The sequence below is a fragment of the Homo sapiens genome, chromosome 11 (genome assembly GCF_000001405.40).
Source record: "Homo sapiens chromosome 11, GRCh38.p14 Primary Assembly".
Taxonomy (NCBI): domain Eukaryota; kingdom Metazoa; phylum Chordata; class Mammalia; order Primates; family Hominidae; genus Homo; species Homo sapiens.
This window is the reverse complement of record NC_000011.10, coordinates 102,592,854-102,611,268: the sequence shown is the minus strand read 5'-3', so window position 1 is coordinate 102,611,268 and position 18,415 is coordinate 102,592,854. Positions and strand designations below refer to the sequence as shown.

The window sequence follows — 18,415 nt, the reverse complement described above, 5'->3', positions numbered from 1 at the left end:
CCTTCTGGGAGATATGCAAGAGGTCTGCCTCCAACTTTCCCACTTCTTCTCCATTCCATTGCTCACCCTCCTCAGATAACATTTCTAGTGTCCTTGTCATTTCAAGCCCAGATCTTAATTTTAATCTGATGTCACTGGGGGGAAAACATGCTTAGGAGCTAGAAAAAAGAAGATCAAGCAAGTCCTGAGAATAAAGCCTTTAGAAATGGCCCTGGGCGTGACCTGGCCCAGGTTATGTCCTATTCCTCCCAGAAGAGAAAGGCCACCCCTGGTGAAGTGGCAGGGAAAGCAGTGTGACTCGGGGTAGCTTTGAAGGCCAAGGAATGAATGTCTGGCTCTCTCTTGATCTTTCAAGCTTACAGTCTGTCCCCTAATACACAAGCCAACCAGGGACTGTGCTGCCATTGCATGAAGTCCTCGGTGTGTGCACCTGAGTAGACTGCATTTCACTGAAACCTGAGAAATGCCATACCAAAACTTTGTTCTGTCGGCTTTTTAAAAAAAAAAAACAAACTAAAACTGGGTATCCTTACTAAGATTTTTTTAAGTGGTAAACTATATCCCTTATTTTGTTCTTCCTCCTCCTCTTCTATTAAATTTGTAATGAATTGTTAGTTAAAATAGATAATTAAACAAAAACTTAAAAAGCTTTAAAAGTTAGGATTTTATAAACACCTTTATGACTTTCATATGTTTTCCACATGAAAGTATGTCAAAATTACAGAGAGATTTTTGACACTTCCTTAAACTGTATTGTGCTATAGAAACAGAAAGCACACACTTGTTCAATTCACTATCACTGTCTCAGCTGAATCAAATTTGAAAGGTCATTCTGCTAACAGGTTCACATTCCAATCAGTGGGGTAGGTTTTGCTATCGAATGCCGCCCCCCCGCCGCCCCGCCCCGCCCCAGTCGTTCTCCTTTTGTAATCTGTGGCACATGCAAAGTCCACAGTATCCTATGTGTCAGTTAACAGATGTCATGATAGCAACAATAACCCAAAACAGGTGTTTTTTTATTGCTAATGCTTACTATCTTTGCAGTATGAATTAGCCTTTTTTATTTTTCAATGGGCTGTTACTCATTGACAAATGAACTTCCCATTATAACAAATAAATACTGAAAAGTGAATTTAAGTGTCAATGCTACTCAAAATGTCCCTTTTCTGTAATATGATGCGCCCCTCAGAATTTCTAGAAGGACTCAATCTTGTTGGCCTTTCTCCCCACTTGTTTAGATCACGGGGATTCCTATCCATTCGATGGGCCTCGGGGGACTCTAGCCCATGCATTTGCTCCTGGAGAAGGCCTGGGAGGAGATACACATTTCGACAATGCTGAGAAGTGGACTATGGGAACGAATGGTATATATGCACAATTCACCATAACCTGGAAAATATTGTACCTTCTTCTGGGCTCCATCATGAAACCTTGAGGTTCAACGTCCCAAGCCACCCTTTAACTAGGGGGGCTGGCTAGGAAAAACAAGTAAGCCAAAAATCCAAAAGGGATCACATAAGGGAAAAAAATCCACCCCAAATTGTGTTGTAGACTTGTCTGATCTGTTTCATAGCATATCATCTGAAGAACCAGTCATCCCCTTCTCAACGCACTGCTCTCGTTTCCTTCAACAACCTAGTATTTATGATTTCTTACTTATTCTTGGAAATGGGCTACATTCAGAAATGACCCAAGAGAATCAGTACTGTCCTGAGAAGTGTGTTGGGGATGGGAATAAAGTTTCCAGAATATCATACAGGTCATCTGGAAATCTTCAGTGTGAAACGTGTGGATCAAAAGGTGTAGGCTGTAATAGCAGGGAACTATTAAGGCATTTGTGGTCTAAATTTATGAATTATTGCCAAATAGCATTGCCACTATTTGTTCCAAGGCTCTGCTTTATCAGTCTACCAAACATCACTGATGATGAATAAAATGGATTGATGTGCATTTCTGTCCTCCCCCACCCCCAACCCCCTTCTAGCCAAGGGGGGAAGAATTAAAGTCACCAAAGCTAAGTGCCAGAATAACCTACCAACCTTTGAATAATCCAGTTAGGAGAAGGAGATGGGTTAACTGTAATGTGGGCATAAATTATACTATAAAGATGGAAGATGGAGAAAACAAAAACCTGTGTTGATACTGTTTTTTTCTCTCTCATATTGTCTAGGTTTTAATTTGTTTACCGTTGCTGCTCATGAATTTGGCCATGCCCTGGGCCTGGCCCATTCCACAGACCCATCAGCACTGATGTACCCAACTTATAAGTACAAGAATCCCTATGGATTCCACCTCCCCAAAGATGATGTGAAAGGGATCCAGGCATTATACGGTAAGATTATTACCTTCTTTGATGACTCACCCTGAAATTGGCAGGCATTCAGTCTCCGAATTAAAGAAAGTGCATTTTATCTGCATTGGTAAAGATCAATCTAGAAACCATAACCCCAACTATGCCTTCTTGTGAAGAGCTGATTTGCTAGTTATAAATATGTGTGTGATGTGTGATTAAATTTTGCATCTTTCCTTTACAGCATATTAGTCCTGGATAGCCTTAGAAAATATAGTCATTTGTCGGTTTATGTTTTTCCTTTGAGTGCAGGTTAGAATTTACACATTGGGAGAGGATGGATATAGTTTATAGTTCATATATGTGGTGCTTACCCATTTGCAGATAAGTGACCTTATCTCCCTAAAAATAGCAATCATGATTAAAATAACTCTGCACCCAGTCATGTAGCCAATCTGCAGTTTACAAAACAGGTTCATGTGTGTAGTCTTACACCAGCCTCACAACCAACCTGTGGGGTGTGAAGTGTTTTCCTCATTTGATAGCTGAGAAAGCTGAGGTTTGAAGACAGTAAGTATCCTAAGATATCCTAAGATAAGTTACCTCAAGTATTAATATTCTTCCAAAAGGTAATAAGGGATTATTAGAAACTCTGTATCCAATTTTCCTTAAGGGAAAAACAAACCAATTAATCCATCAGAAGGAATCTTGAAACATCCTTAGACCTTGACAATTTTTCTTTAATGGATAAAAGGCAAAAAGATCTAGGAAATTGCTTTTCCTTTGAGCCCTGGAGACCTGGTTATTAGGCTTCTGATTATCAGAGCTTCTCCCCATCTTCTCAGTGCCTAGAGACCCAGATCCCCCAACAGCTTCCTGGGGTGCTAGGAATCTGGCCCCAGGGGATCTGGAGGGTGGGAAGCCCAGAAATGGGCACACCATTCAAAATCAGTCAGATTTCACCTGAGGCACAAAAGACAAATTTCATCCCAAGAAGCTTTCAGCCAGCTCTATCCATTTCCAGGAGGGGGAAAGCACCAGATCTGCCTGACCCTTGAGGGACAGGAAAAATGCCATGAATGTCTCCATGTCACAAACTCAGCTCCAGAGCCTTGGTGGCAGTGTTCCAATGGGAAGCGATTCCTGTGGGCCACCGAGAAGGGCTGAGCTCAAACACTTGCCTTTGGAGGTCCTTGTGCCCTGGAAAGTCACTGCCTTCGGATGGCCACTGTCACTCAGCCAGGAGGCAAAGCACATATTTTGGCACAGCTATTATGACACAGGTGAACAAAATGTGAAAACATGGGTTTATGTTACAAGGGAGCATTCATATCACCCACCCGATCGCTTGCCGCTGCTGACCCTCTCCAATTTCCAGCTTCGATATTCTCCCAAAGCCTCACCCCGCCTCTGATCTTCGCCTTGATGCTAACCCTACTTCATCCCTGACCTCAAACCTCATCTGACCCTTATCAGAGGCCTGAACCTTTCCCTTCCCTGTGCCTCATTCCTTCCCTGACTCTCACCTGTAATTATGACGAGGCTTCATCAAAGAGCAGGAACCTGCCAGAGGTGACAGTCCAAGCTGTGCAGGCTCATTCTTCTGGAGCTGGGACACAGTCCTGAGAGATGCAGAGCAGGAGAGGAGACTCACTGATAGCTCTCGCAAGATTTGGGTCCATGTTTTCCAAGACGATCCACCAGAAGATACCTTTAAATAGCAAACACCTTCAGTGTACTTCAGTTTCACAAGAACTCGCTCAGTTTTTCCTGGATGCCTAGTAAAAGACAAAAGCACAGGGCAGGATGCCAAGGAGTCTATGAAAATAATAGGAAAACACACAAGAAAGTTTTCTTATTGAGAAAAAAAGAACTTAATTACAAACAAACAATCCATGCCAATTTTTAAATTACATTTCTAATTTGGAACACTTGTAGATATCAAAGAAGTTCTATAATAAAATAATAATCTTTAGAAGACTTACTATGTGCCAAGCACTCTGCTACCTGCTTTACAGGAATTATTTAATTCTCACAACAGCCTTCTGAGGTGAGTACTATTATTATCCCTCCCTTTTAACAAGTGAGGAAGCTGAGGCTTGCAAAGTTGAATAATGTGCCTCAAATCACACAGCTCAGCAACCAGGAGAGCCGGGACTCAAACCCATACCTGCCCTCAACAGCCATGATCATGATCACATGTCCAGCGTGAAAGTGTACAACCTCCCCTGGGGCTCTAGAGCAGAAGTGTGTGAACTCCAAATTCCCGTTACCATTTTGACCAACTCATTTTGAATCCTAGGACCTCGGAAAGTATTCCTGGGGAAGCCCACTCTGCCCCATGCCCCCCATCACAAGCCATCCATCCCTGACCTCTGTGACTCCAGCTCATCCTTTGACGCTGTGACAATGCTGGGGAAGGAGCTCCTGCTCTTCAAGGACCGGTAAGCCTCAGACACGCCACCGACTCTCATTGGGCCTCATCTCCACTCCCAGACAAACGTCGTCCCACAGGTCCTTGTTGCTGCCTTGTATGAAGATCATGCAGAAATGCTGTCCTATGCAGCAGAAGGGTGGTAGGCAGGGGTCTTTGGGGGAGATAGAGAACTGCCAAAACTACTGTTTGTGGTGCACCTACTGTGGTCTTGCTACTGTGCTAAGTTATGTCCATATATGGACAATATTTATTGTAACCTTTTTCACTGTAGAGATTAGAATCCCTAATGTGCAGATAAAGAAAGCAGCTCAAAGACAGCAAGCAAGTTTCCCAAGGTGACAGTTAAATGGCTGAGCTAGGACACCAGCCTGAATTGATCTGATGTCCATTTTGTTTACCACTTTATCCCTAGTGAGTGTGCATAGCAAATGCTCAATAAATATTTGGTGAATGAGGGTTGGCTAGCTGGACAGATGGACAGATAGGAGATTGGATAAAAGGATGGATGGATGGATGGATGATCAGATGGATAGATAGGTGGGTAGATAATTCCAAGGCCAGCATTCTTCCGAAACTGCTCCTTTTCAGTGCCTCCGGGCCTTTCACAGAGAAGGCAGATCCCTCTTCTCCCCCAACTCTGGTTTCTTGGGGAGTAAGGCTGTTGTCTCCATGATGCTGGTTACTCCAAATACTTCTTTCCATGGAGGCAAAGAGAAACATAGCAACATTCACCCCATTCCTCCCTTTGCTGGGGACAGAATTCAATCACACCAGAATAGGCAGAGGCATCTCAGGAGCATTCATGTGTGGCATTATTTTTTCTTCTTCTTCACTATTGCAAAAGTGTTTATGGAGCCCATTGTGGTTTTCAAGCAGTGTAGTCTCATGTATGAGAAGGTGTATGAGTAGGGGACTCCAAAAGCCCTGCAAGATAGTGAGACATGAGCTCTAAAAGTTAGGCCCATGAAACAAAACAAGAAGCAAGTACCTGGGAAGATCTAGAGAGAGTTCCCTGAGGAGCAGACGTTTGAGAAATGTGATGTTCCTTATCTTGTATGCTTTTGGGGATATATTGTTGAGCTACTATTATAAGAATACTTTTTGCTCCTTCAGCACAGAGAGAAAGTAACAAAGTATTTTTTAAAAAGCAAAATTTACCCAGAATCCCACCACCTGGAGTGTATCAGTCTGCAGGAGCTGCTATAACCAAGTACCATAGACCAGGTGGCTTAGACAACAGAAATGTATTCCTCACAGTTTTGGAGGGTAAGAAGTTCAAGATCAAGGTACTGCAAGGTAAGTTTCACCCCAAGGCCTCTTTTCCTGGCTTGTAGGCAGCCGCCATCTTGCTGTGAGCTCTCATGATCCCTTCATGTACAGAGAGAGAGGACTGAGATTTCCAGTTTCTCTTCTTATAAGTGCACTAGTCCCATCATGGGGCCCCCACCCTCATGACCTCATGAGTCAGGAATGTCCTCTTCCAGCACTAACCCTAATTACTTCTTGAAGGTAATACCATCCCATTGAAGGTAAAGGCTTCAGCATAGGAATTTGGAGGGCACATAACACAGAGCATTCCCATTGTTAAGCATATTGTTTTATGTCCCTCCTGACGTTTTCTCTGGATAGAGAGCTAGATATTGTACATATGGGAGTAGGGCGCAATGATTTCTAAAAAAATAGGATTTTACTAGTGGTGTTGATTTATAAACTTTTTCACTCACAAAATTTTATTTTTTCCTGTCAACGGATTTTAATTCTCATCCTTTATATATTATATGTTATTCCAATGAATAGATATATCATTACTTAATCAATCCCATACTGGATTATTTCTAATTTTTAAAAATTAGAAACAGTTTGAACTAAATCTTTGACAATGGACAGACATTCACTTTTCAAAGGCAAATTAGAGCTGAGCCCAGGAACCCAGGCTTTCACAGCAGAGTCAGTGGGTGGCCCTACTGCTTACTGATGAGGTGATCCCCAGCAAGTAATGTGCCAGACACATAGTGTCAATAAATGGCAGTTACTATTCTTAAGAGTGGGAATCAAAAAATATTTACAATGGCAGGGAGGCTTATAAACAACTTCAGGTATTTAGAGAACCCAATTTATTCTTTTGTGTTATTAATTTTCTGATGATTTTTTATTTTTAAGACACTGACCATTGACATTTTTCTTGAATATTACCAAAAAGTACACCAAATGGAATTGGTAAGCAATGACCCGGGAGTGGTAGACCAGGCAGGGCAGGAGGAGCTTGGAGCACAGATCTGAGTAAACTTGGCTTCACCTAAGGGATATCATTGTCAGGCTCCACACTCCCAGACACTGAAATAGCATGTAGCACTCATTCAGTGATAAAGCAGTGAGGTGCTAGCCATCATGCAGGGTGTAGCTTATTCTTGTGGTAAATATCAGAGGTTGCAGTGGGGGTAAAGGAGGTGGTGAAGTCAGACATATGATACCATTTCATTCAATGATCATTGTTTTCTTAAAAAAAAGCAAAAAAAAAAAACACCTCTGTTTATCAAACTGTGAGCATTTAGCAATTACTAATGACTACTTAAAGTCAATACATCTTTTGACATAGTCTTGATTATAAATACTGAGGGTGATAACAGACTAGTAAGTGAGACATTGGTGCAAGAGACGTCTAGAAATGAAAAATCAGCAGAGGGACCGCAGGAGAGATGGCCTGCTACAATGTACGTATCTGCTTAGTCACCACCTTCTCATCTTCTTCCATTTCAGATTCAATGAGCTACTGGGGTAGGGCAGATGATTCCAAAGAACTAGAACGAGCTATAAGCAGGATGGGGAGTCAGGAGTGGTCCCAGCACTGGACTTGCCACTAACTCACCGTGGCACCTGGAGCTTCTCTTCCTTTTCTATAAAGTGAGGGAGTTGTCTGTAATAATAGTGACTTAAAAGTGTTCAGTACTTATTATGCAAAGCACTATATTATCACATCCTTACAATTCCCCTGTGAGGCCTGAAGTATTATTCCTTTTACAAGTCATAGAAAGGATAAGCAACTTGTTCAAGAGTACATAGCTAGTAAGGGGTGGAGCTGGAATTCAAACCCAAACTAGCAAACTTCAGAATCCGTGCCCCTAACTACCCTGCCTCCTAAGGTGCTGTCCAGAGCTGGAATCCCATGACTCTATAGCTCTGATCCCCTACCAGCTGCCGCTAAAAGTCCCAGAGTGCTTGCTAAGCCTGGACAAAGAACAAAGAATTCTTTCAAGCCACAGTTCTAATGGCAACCAGGGAGCCACTGATTATGAAAGCGCTCCCAGTCTCTTCTCTCCCACTCAACAGCCTGGAATTCCCCGTCACCAACAATGATCTGTTGATGGGACATTTCAAGCTGTGGGCATAATAACCACATGGTTTGTTTCCAAAGCAAGATGGAATGCAGTACCTTTTAAAGTCACCGTGAGATTTGTCAGATATTCTCCATAGTGTATAAACGTACATTCAAATGTTCTGTGTGAAGAGAAATAAGTGTTAGCTATAATAAGTTGAGAGGCATATATATAGCTAGATATACTTAATGAACATACACTTACTTTTTATAATAGATGACAAATTTATTAAGGCTATATCACATTTCCTCAGTCACTTAGGGAAAATAAGAGAGAAATGACTGGAATTGTAGCCACACCAAAATTATATTTGCATCTATCATATTATGTTGGGTTTTGCCCAATATAATTTTAAGGGTAAAATCAAGAATATCACACACAATCATCTATAAATCTTAGAAGTACAATAGGTTTTACAAATAGAGTAAGCATAAAGGTTGATCATATCCAAATCCTTCAGTGTAGAGATAAGGAAAATAGGCACAGGTCTTTTAGCCTCAGCAGACCCTCCCATGAGACCCAGATCTTCTGACTCCAGTCCAGAATCTATCCTAGCACTAATATAGAAAGCTTTCTGCCTATGAAATGGAAATACCAAGAAAAGCACTGAAATTTAACCTGAATGAACATATGCCCATTGACTGTTATGCATTTGAGTTAGTAGGAAGAGCACTTCCGAGCTGTTCCTTTGCTTCCACACCCTCTGCTTGCAAGTGGGGCAACCAGCCACAAAGAGGAGGATGTTCATAGACTATCTAGGTTTCCCAAGGATGTCTAATATGTTTCTTCACATTTTTTTTTCCAAAATAGGATTCTATATATTTTTTTAATCTGTCACTAATTGTCACATTTTAAAAGATGTTATGTGTCTTAAATTAGAAGGCAAAGAAAAGCATTTTTGGCCGGGCGCGGTGGCTCAAGCCTGTAATCCCAGCACTTTGGGAGGCCGAGGTGGGCAGATCACAAGGTCAGGAGATGGAGACCATCCTGGCTAACATGGTGAAACCCCGTCTCTACTAAAAATACAAAAAAAAAAAAAAAAAAAAAAAAATTAGCCGGGCGTGGTGGTGGGCGCCTGTAATCCCAGCTACTCGGGAGGCTGAGGCAGGAGAATGGCGTGAACCCGGGAGGCGGAGCTTGTAGTGAGCCGAGATCGCGCCACTGCACTCCAGCCTGGGCGACAGAGCAAGACTCCGTCTCAAAAAAAAAAAAAAAAGAAAGAAAGAAAAGAAAAGCATTTTTAAGGGTTATGCAAGTAGGAATTGGAGAGAAGAATGGATGTATTAATAAAAGGCATTCTGAGGACTCACCAGTGGGATTAGGACACTAATTTGGTGAGAAGAACAATGGAAAAGGGAAAGTTAAAGCAGGTAGAAGCCTCATGGCTGAGAGTATAATATACAGCATTGTTCACTTAGAAAAATTCAGAGGATTTGTTGGGAACACGATGTAAAACAGGGTTAGATGTATCAGATTTAAAGCAATGACAATTTTCACGGAGTTTCATAGAAATAAGCTAGTGCTCAGGGAAGAGGTCACAGTTGGAGGCTTCGTGGGTTTTGAATCTCCCACATAAAGGAGACATTTAAAGATGTGGAGATGAAAAACAGCTCTGTAGAGAGAATGAGGAGAAAGAAAAAAAGTCTAAAGAATGAGCCTAGGAAATAGAAGAAAAGGATTTAATAACAACCAGAGAGATTCAGCACTCCGAAAATAATAACGATAAGAATAGCCGAGGCCGGGCGCGGTGGCTCACGCCTGTAATCCCAGCACTTTGGGAGGCCGAGGCGGGCGGATCACGAGGTCAGGAGATCGAGACCATCCCGGCTAAAACGGTGAAACCCCGTCTCTACTAAAAATACAAAAAATTAGCCGGGCGTAGTGGCGGGCGCCTGTAGTCCCAGCTACTTGGGAGGCTGAGGCAGGAGAATGGCGTGAACCCGGGAGGCGGAGCTTGCAGTGAGCCGAGATCCCGCCACTGCACTCCAGCCTGGGCGACAGAGCGAGACTCCGTCTCAAAAAAAAAAAAAAAAAAAAAAAAAGAATAGCCGACACTTCGTGGTCATTTGCAACGTGCTATGTGTTGTGCTAAGAATTTTACAGATATTCACTCATTTAATCCATACTGTCATTGTCCTCAGCTGGAATTATAACTTAGTTCTGTTTGACATCAGAGACAAAACCCCTGTGGTGAAATCCCAAATAAATCTGGGAAAAAAGGGTGTATTTTTTTTAAGTGATCAACAGTGGAAAATGTTGCCAAGGTCACCAGACTGAGGACTGAAGAAAAGGGACTGAGTGGCCAGGATAGTTTGGAATATAGTCACAGCAGAGCAGTGAGGAAGAAAGCCAGATCATGGAAAGGGGTTAAAGAGCAAATGGGGCCAGGCGCAATGGCTCACACCTGTAATCCCAGCACTTTGGGAGAGGCGGCGAGTGGATCACTGGAGGTCAGGAGTTCAAGACCAGCCTGGGAAACATGGTGAAACCCTGTCTCTACTAAAAATACAAAAAAAATTAGCCAGATGTGGTGGCAGTGCCTTGTAATCCCAGCTTCTCAGGAGGCTGAGGTGGGAGAATCACTTGAACCCTGGAGGCAGAGGTTGCAGTGAGCTGAGATTGCACCACTGCACTCCAGCCTGGGTGACAGAGCGAGACCCTATCTTAAAATAAATAAATAAATAATAAAAAGCAAATGGGGGGAAACAAAAGAGTTGAGATAGATCATTCATTTGAGAAGCTTGTTAATAACAAAAGAAGTTAAGATAATAGTTGGCAGTGGCAGCAGGGCCAAGACAGGATTTCAAAGAGGGAACTGTTCATGTTTGAAGACAGTGGAGAAAAAGAAATACAAGATGCTACAGGAAGGAAAACAATAACAGTAACCACTATTTCTGGAGAGTAGATTTGAAATTGGGAATTCCCAGGATGCCATGGGCTTGAGGTAAGCCCACCATGGAACAGGAGGAAGTCTTCCTCCTTCGCATTCTCCCTGGGAATGTGTCTTTTCTGGCTGTAAGATTACTTCCCTGAAAGCCAACAAATGGCATTGTGTTTACTTAGAGCGGTTCTCTGTGATCTATTAAGAATTCAGATAAAGAAGCAGAGGTGAAGTAACATCCCTGACTCATTGTCATTTCTTCTGAACCACCTGATTCTGAGAGAGGAGGGGCCCTTTACATGTTCACAGGTTATGGCTTATGAATATGGATTTTCACGGGCTCTTCAGATGGGTACAAACATTCTTAATTTAAGGGCACTATGCACAGCTTTGACTATCATTAATCCACAGCACTGGCTACAGATGGGTTTTTAGTTGTATGAACTATATTTTTCTTGGGTTCAGTGAGGTGGATGATTCATGGTTGATTTCTTGGCTTCTGACTCATCATGAACTAAGCAGCCCTGGTTAATGAGTCCCATAGAATGAATGGCTTCTCAGCCAATGACATGACAGTTTGTACTTCAAAGTTTCCAGTGAAGCAAACTAAGAAGGAAACTTGGCTATATTGATAAACTCTAAGTTTATATTCTGCATATCATCTATTAATAAATTTGTGGAGTAAAAACATGTCTTTTTAAAGTGTCTACAAATAAGAATAGTCCTGAATTTATAAAACACTTTCATATGCATTATTTCAATTGATCCTTTTAAGTGTTTGTGCAGATATTATTCTCACTCTTATTTGACAGTAGGAAATTGAGTCTCAGAAAAATTGAATGACTCACACGAGGTCACACAGCCAGTTATAAAACAAGGTTTCAAGCATTTCTTGTTCTGTTCACTGCACCACATCACCTGATCTCAGGGGAGTGAGCAGTAATTAAACAGAGAATCAAAAAGATAGAGGCCGGCATGGTGGCTCATGCCTGTAATCCCAGCACTTTGGGAAGCCGAGGCAGGCAGATCACTTGAGGTCAGGAATTCAAGACCAGCCTGGCCAACATGGTCAAACCCCATCTCTACTGAAAAAAATACAAAAATTAGCTGGGCAGGTGTGGTGACACGTGCTTGTAGTCCCTGCTACTTGGGAGGCTGAGGCAGGAGAATCGTTTGAACCCAGGAGGCAGAGGTTGCAGTGAGCTGAGATTGCGCCGCTGCACTCCAGCCTAGGCACCAAAGCAAGACTCCATCTCAAAAAAAAAAAAAAAAAAGATAGAAGAAAGACACCCCTTCCCACAAATAGGAAAGAAGATGACAGAGATCAGAATCTAAGAGAGTGTGAGACTAAAGACGATGAAAATTGGGCCACTCATTCAGCTTGTGCTGAGTTGCCTTGATTGTCCAGCAAATAAAGGGTGAAGGCATCTCCTGAAAATGAAAGTCTGATGGGGTCAGCTTAGGTAGGTGGAGAATGATGACTGGGTAAAACAAAAGAAGACCTTTAAGGCTCAACAACATGCATCAAGTCCCTGGATGCACCAGGCAGCATGCTAAGCCCAAGGATAAAAAGATGAATAATACATGATGCTGGAGGAGGAATTCAAGGAACTAGCAAAGAGCTGCAAGAGGCCAGGTGAAAGTTATCAGAGACCAAATCTCAAATTTGATGAGTTAGTTACTGTTCTTTGGTAAAAGTGAATGAAAATTTTAAAGAATATGAAACTTGTTGATCAGGTAAGTTCCAATCATCTCTCTGGCACCCGTTCATTTAGCCAACAAATGTGTATTGAACCCTGACTATGTGCCAGCATAGCATAAGATAGTGGGTACATGAAGATAAACAGTGCAGCTAAATATCTAATCAGCAGATCTAAAATATCAATAAACTCCATTGTTTTGCCTTCCTTATCAAAGATCAAATTATAGACTAGTGATATAATCTGTTTATTTTCATTCCAATACATCCTGCAGCTGTTCTTTTCCAAGAGGCTTATAGATTTTTTTGTTTATATTTTAAATCCATTCACAGATGTATAAGGAAGTTACTTGCTATCATTGTTTTTGTGAGTTTTACTTCACTTATTACTACAATCTATAGGTCTAAGGATGCAAATTGTCTGAGTATGTTACTGTTTTATTGCCACAAGACATCATTTTTTTCATTAGTTTACTGAAATTTTTCATGACTACAGATTCTTTTTGAAATTTGTGATAATTTGGCCAGGCATGGTGTCTACGCCTGTAATCTCAGCACTTTGGGAGGTGGAGGCAGGCAGATCACCTGAGGTCGGGAGTTCGAGACCAGCCTGACCAACATGGAGAAACCCCACCTCTACTAAAAATACAAAATTAGCCGGGAGTGGTGTCACATGCCTGTAATCCCAGCTACTCGGGAGGCTGAGGCAGGAGAATTGCTTGAACCCAGGAGGCGGAAGTTGCCATGAACTTAGATCACGCCATTGCACTCCAGCCTGGGCAACAAGAGTGAAACTCCATCTCAAAAAAAAGAAAAGAAAAGAAATTTGTCATAATTTATATAAGTGATGGATAGCATTTATTTCTATCCTATGTGCACATTATATACATTACACTACATCATAGTGGTGTTTAAAGCAGGGTTTCTTAACATTGACACTACTGGTATCTTGAGCCAGATAAGTCTTAGTTGTGTTGAGCTGTCTTTTGCATTAGGATGTTTAGTGGCATCCCTGGCTGTACTCATTAGACTCCAATAGCACTGCTCATCCCCACCTGTGACAACCAAAATTGTCACCAGATATTGCCTAACGTCCCCCAGGGTGCAAAATCACACTTGATTTACAATGACTACTTCAATTTAGTCCTCACGATATCCTACATCAATATTTCCTTAGTAAGGAATTTGAGAGTCTACCACTTGTGAAAAGTTTCAAGAGTACAGTTTTCCTTTGCCTGAGCTCGTAACTACTACCCTTTACTACTTCTCATGTTGAGTCATTCAAGATATCACTGTCCCAAAACTTCAACTAAAAAGTAGGACTTAGCTTTGCCTAGAGTTGCTTGTTGATTTTTAAGTGAGAAATGCAAGAAAATGCATCTGGCTTTAGAGTGATCAAAGAGAAAGCAGCTGGAAGTCTACTACACCTCATCAGAGACATCATTCAGACAGAGCCTAGTTTTGGGAAGACATATCTGCTCCTCTACCTCCCCACTTTCCCCACATGGCCTCATCATTATAATATTCTTAAATGCACACTTTGTGTCTTAGCACAGCAACTTATAAGAGAAAACATTTCAGAGCTATGTATTGAATTGCATTAATTGGAACACACTTGCTCTTCAGGTTTCATCCCAGGTTCCCAATTAATCCAAGAAGTAGTTGCGGGATTCTGGATACCCAAAACTGTATTCATTACGAGGTGGTGGAGAGAAAAGGGAAAAGGGAAGCAGTCCCTCTGGCCTTCAGAAAAGCCCAGGTCTGATTGGACAAAGGGTCAAAGTACAAACAAAGAAAAAACCAGAGGTCACGAGACTGAGCATGAGCAAGTAGGTGAGATCGGACATGTGACTAACCTCAAGGCAGCTAGAGCCTGAGCTGGGCCGTCTCTGCCCCTCACCACCAGTGACCTTTGGGCCAGCAGCCCTTCTGGATCTCAGTTTTTCATCAGTTAAAACATACGCTTTAGATAAGGCTGTGATGTTTGGGGCTTGTGTATTGTCTATGGAGGGTGCCCAATTACCAGGTAATTAAGGCCTAAGCAAATAATACCTTTTCAAACTAACAGTATCTATCCATATGGCACCTTACAGTTTATAATACACTTTCATATTCATTATCTCATTTTATCCTTATAATGGTCTCATGATATTGGCCAGGAAATTATTTTTCCCATGTAAGCTGATTAAACTGAGGCTTGGAGAGGCTGGTCAGCAGTGGAGTTAAAACTCTAGCCCACATCTTCTCAAACACAATGTGTTTTTCCTTCTGCACCATGATGCCTCTTACGAAACATGAGGAAATATTTATCTTTTCCCAATACATTCCTTTTTTGGATTTTATCATCAGCTTAAGTTGCCTCATTAGGGATACCTTTATTAAGCCCCTAAATGCAATGGGATATACTTCTTGTGTGTTCTCAAAGTATCCTGAACTTAACTCTTCGTAGCACCAATCACTCTGATCGTTACTAATCAGTCTCTACTATTAGATTGTAAACATATTGAGGGCAGGGCCGACATCTTCTTCAGTGTTTCATCCTTGATGTCCACCACAGTGCCTGATGATAGGTGCTCCATAAATATTTGTTAGATTAACTGAATAGGAAAACTCTACATAAAATTTGGAGAATTCCTAAATTAGCCACTAGGAAAGTTCAATGTCAAAATTTTATTACAGTTTCCCAGTCCCCAAATAATCCTGTGAAGTAATTCTGGGCTCCTAAGAAGACAAGTAAATTATTCGTGTTTTATAAAAAATGATTTTCATCTTCAAACTATAAAATAGAGCACATTACATTGTCAGTTTCAATCCAGTACCCTCATGGGTATACTGCCACAATTTTATGACTATAATATTGGGTAAATGGATAGATGAATTGCTAAGCCTTAAATCAATATGTGTGTACTAGATTTTCTGTTAACTAGCCATCAGACTCAAAGATGTAAATGCTTCCAGCGCACAATTATGTAGGCAACACCATAACTTATGATTATTAATGTTTTCGCTATTTTTACAGGGTCTAATCAGCATGACTCAACCATAGACTTCTGGTTCATTTACATACTATTCACAATGTCCACCTTCTGGATCATAGTTACCTTTGTAAGATTTTAACTTTTAAAAGATCAGAAAAGGAAAGAGAAATTTGTATCAAGTGATATTTGGAATGGGGGGGTGCATAGCTTAAATGTGTAAATAATTGATACTATTACTTTGCTATATTCTTTCATTATTTTGAACATCCTTAAATAAACGAAGGAGAGGGGATCACAGAAATGCTAAGACAATGAAAAGGGAGTAGAAACTGTTTACCAAGGTCCAAAAAGTTGTGTTTTTCCTTAAAAACATGGCAAGGGTGGAATGGACATGGTCATTCATGTCTGTAATCCCAGCACTTTGGGAGGCCGAGGCAGGTGGGTCACTTGAGGTCAGGAGTTCGAGACCAGCCTGGCCAATGTGGTGAAGTGAAACCCTGTCTCTACTAAAAGTACAAAAATTAGTGAGGCATGGTGGCACACAGCTGTAGCCCCAGTTATTCGGGAAGCTGAGGCAGGAGAATTGCTTGAACTGGAGAGGTGGAGGTTGCAGTGAGCCGAGGTTGCAGTGAGCCAAGATCATGCCACTGCACTCCAGCCTGGGCCAAACAGCAAGACTCCATCTCAAAAAAAAAAAAAAAGAAAAGAGAAAAAAAACAAGGCAAGGCAAGGCAAGAGCAAAGGGCATTTAGTGAGTGGCCTCTGAGTACATTTCAGTCAAAGTGCAATTTTATATGTAAATCAATCATTGATCTTGATTTTTTTTTTTTTTTTTTTTGGAATGTCCCATAGGATTTTCTGGAGACGGCAGGTTCACTTGCGGACAGGAATTCGGCCCAGCACTATTACCAGCTCCTTCCCCCAGCTCATGTCCAATGTGGATGCAGCTTACGAAGTGGCTGAGAGGGGCACTGCTTACTTCTTCAAAGGTACCCTACAGATCCCTCAAAGAAAGAAATGGCAGGGCTGCAGTGCCCCATTCATTTGGCATATCTAGCCCTGCCAGCATTTTTCCAGTCATCATGGAGCACATTTCAGTTGCTCTTTGTCCTCAGGTTGGGTATGAAATGCCACCCTACATTTGTTATACCCGACATTGTGTAACAATGGAAATGATGGCAGTGGCCCTGAGAACCAAGCCTGTTAGGCTAGTAAGGCACTGTGTTAGGTGATAGTGCCTAGGGAGCTAGAAACATGGTCCCTGCCACACAGGACCTCTGCTCAGAGTGACAGTGTATACTCTACTGACATCCTTTAATAAATAAAAGCCAGTGTGGAACTCAGTGGGAGGTAAACAATACCCTTACTTCTATGCTGTGGTCAGAAGCAGCCAGGAGAGGAGGACGCCTTTGACTTCAGGAGGTGGACACATATACCAATCTCTGGCTCTAGCCCTTTACTATTTGAGTGACTTTGGAAAGTTATCTAATGGCTCTGAGCTCCATTTCTTCCTCTGCAAAGTGATTATAGCAATATAAACCTTGAAGGTGCGTTGTGACAATGGCGAGCCAATGGAAGTTATCCAGTAGGTGATAACTATCAGTTTTAGCTTATATGTTCTTGATACTGAGGGATAAGGTTAGAAAGCAAGTGCCAATTTAAGTAAAAATCATGACATTTGCATGTCACTTGCCCATTCTCTCTCGTAGATCTATGAAGGTGAAATGAGATTATAAATGAAGGATATCTTGAAAGACATAGTATGTTAAATGTAAAACACAATTTTATCAATGTTATTGCTTTCTTAAGGCATAACTAGGGACTTTTGCCTCCAGGGAAGTTTGAAGTCTTTTACTGAACTGAATAGTTAGAAGCTTATATCTCTTGTTGGGTTATAGCCATGGCAAGTATCCCATAAACTAACCCCATTTAAGAGCCTTCATAGAAATCTTTATGAGAGAAGTGCATCACCAAGTGGTGCAGAGTTTTCGTAAACTTTAATTTCTGTTTTCAGGTCCCCACTACTGGATAACAAGAGGATTCCAAATGCAAGGTCCTCCTCGGACTATTTATGACTTTGGATTTCCAAGGCACGTGCAGCAAATAGATGCTGCTGTCTACCTCAGGGAGCCACAGAAGACCCTTTTCTTTGTGGGAGATGAATACTACAGGTATGGCTTTTTTCCTTTTTACTATCTATCTTTATTTAATGAGAATGATTTTAAAAAGATAAAAACCCTTCCACGAAAGAATGCAAAGCAAGTTTGCGATAGGCCCGTTGACTCTTCTCGGCCACTGGGGTGCGATTTACAGATGGTTGACTGTCTTCAAGATATGGAACCATCAAAATGATGAGTGAAACCTTCATTCAATAATCCCATTGTTTGGTCTGTAGGACTTGACACATCCTGATCTTTCAATGCACTCATTAACCGGACACCTAGTGGCCTAAAAGCGTAGATGCAGCATCACCAAATCCCTAACTACCCACTGAGAATGCCTGACTTTGCTGTTATGTGACCATCAAATGCATCCCACAATACTCCATGATTTGGGGCAAAATGGAGATGGTCCTGACCATGGGTCTCTTTGAAGGATAGTTCTGCTGGAAGGAAAAGGCCTTATTGCTTAGTCCTTTTATCCAGCCTAGAATATGAAAATCCTTCTTATCCAAAGGAAAACATATAATTTCAATTCCTGTCCTCAGGGGCTTCGTATGAGCAAGTCTGAATCAGATGTCATCTGTCATCCAATCA

General features: G+C 41.6%; 1 protein-coding gene across 1 annotated transcript in view; it reads left to right on the top strand.

Moving 5' to 3' along the window:
* Nucleotides 1–18,415, top strand: part of MMP20 (matrix metallopeptidase 20) — a 48,501-nt gene that overhangs the window by 14,064 nt on the left and 16,022 nt on the right. Inside the window, exons 4-8 of the mRNA NM_004771.4 lie at nt 1,239–1,364; nt 2,171–2,332; nt 4,593–4,734; nt 16,512–16,648; nt 17,674–17,830. Coding sequence (NP_004762.2) covers nt 1,239–1,364; nt 2,171–2,332; nt 4,593–4,734; nt 16,512–16,648; nt 17,674–17,830 — 724 coding nt within the window. The remainder of the gene's footprint in view (nt 1–1,238; nt 1,365–2,170; nt 2,333–4,592; nt 4,735–16,511; nt 16,649–17,673; nt 17,831–18,415) is intronic.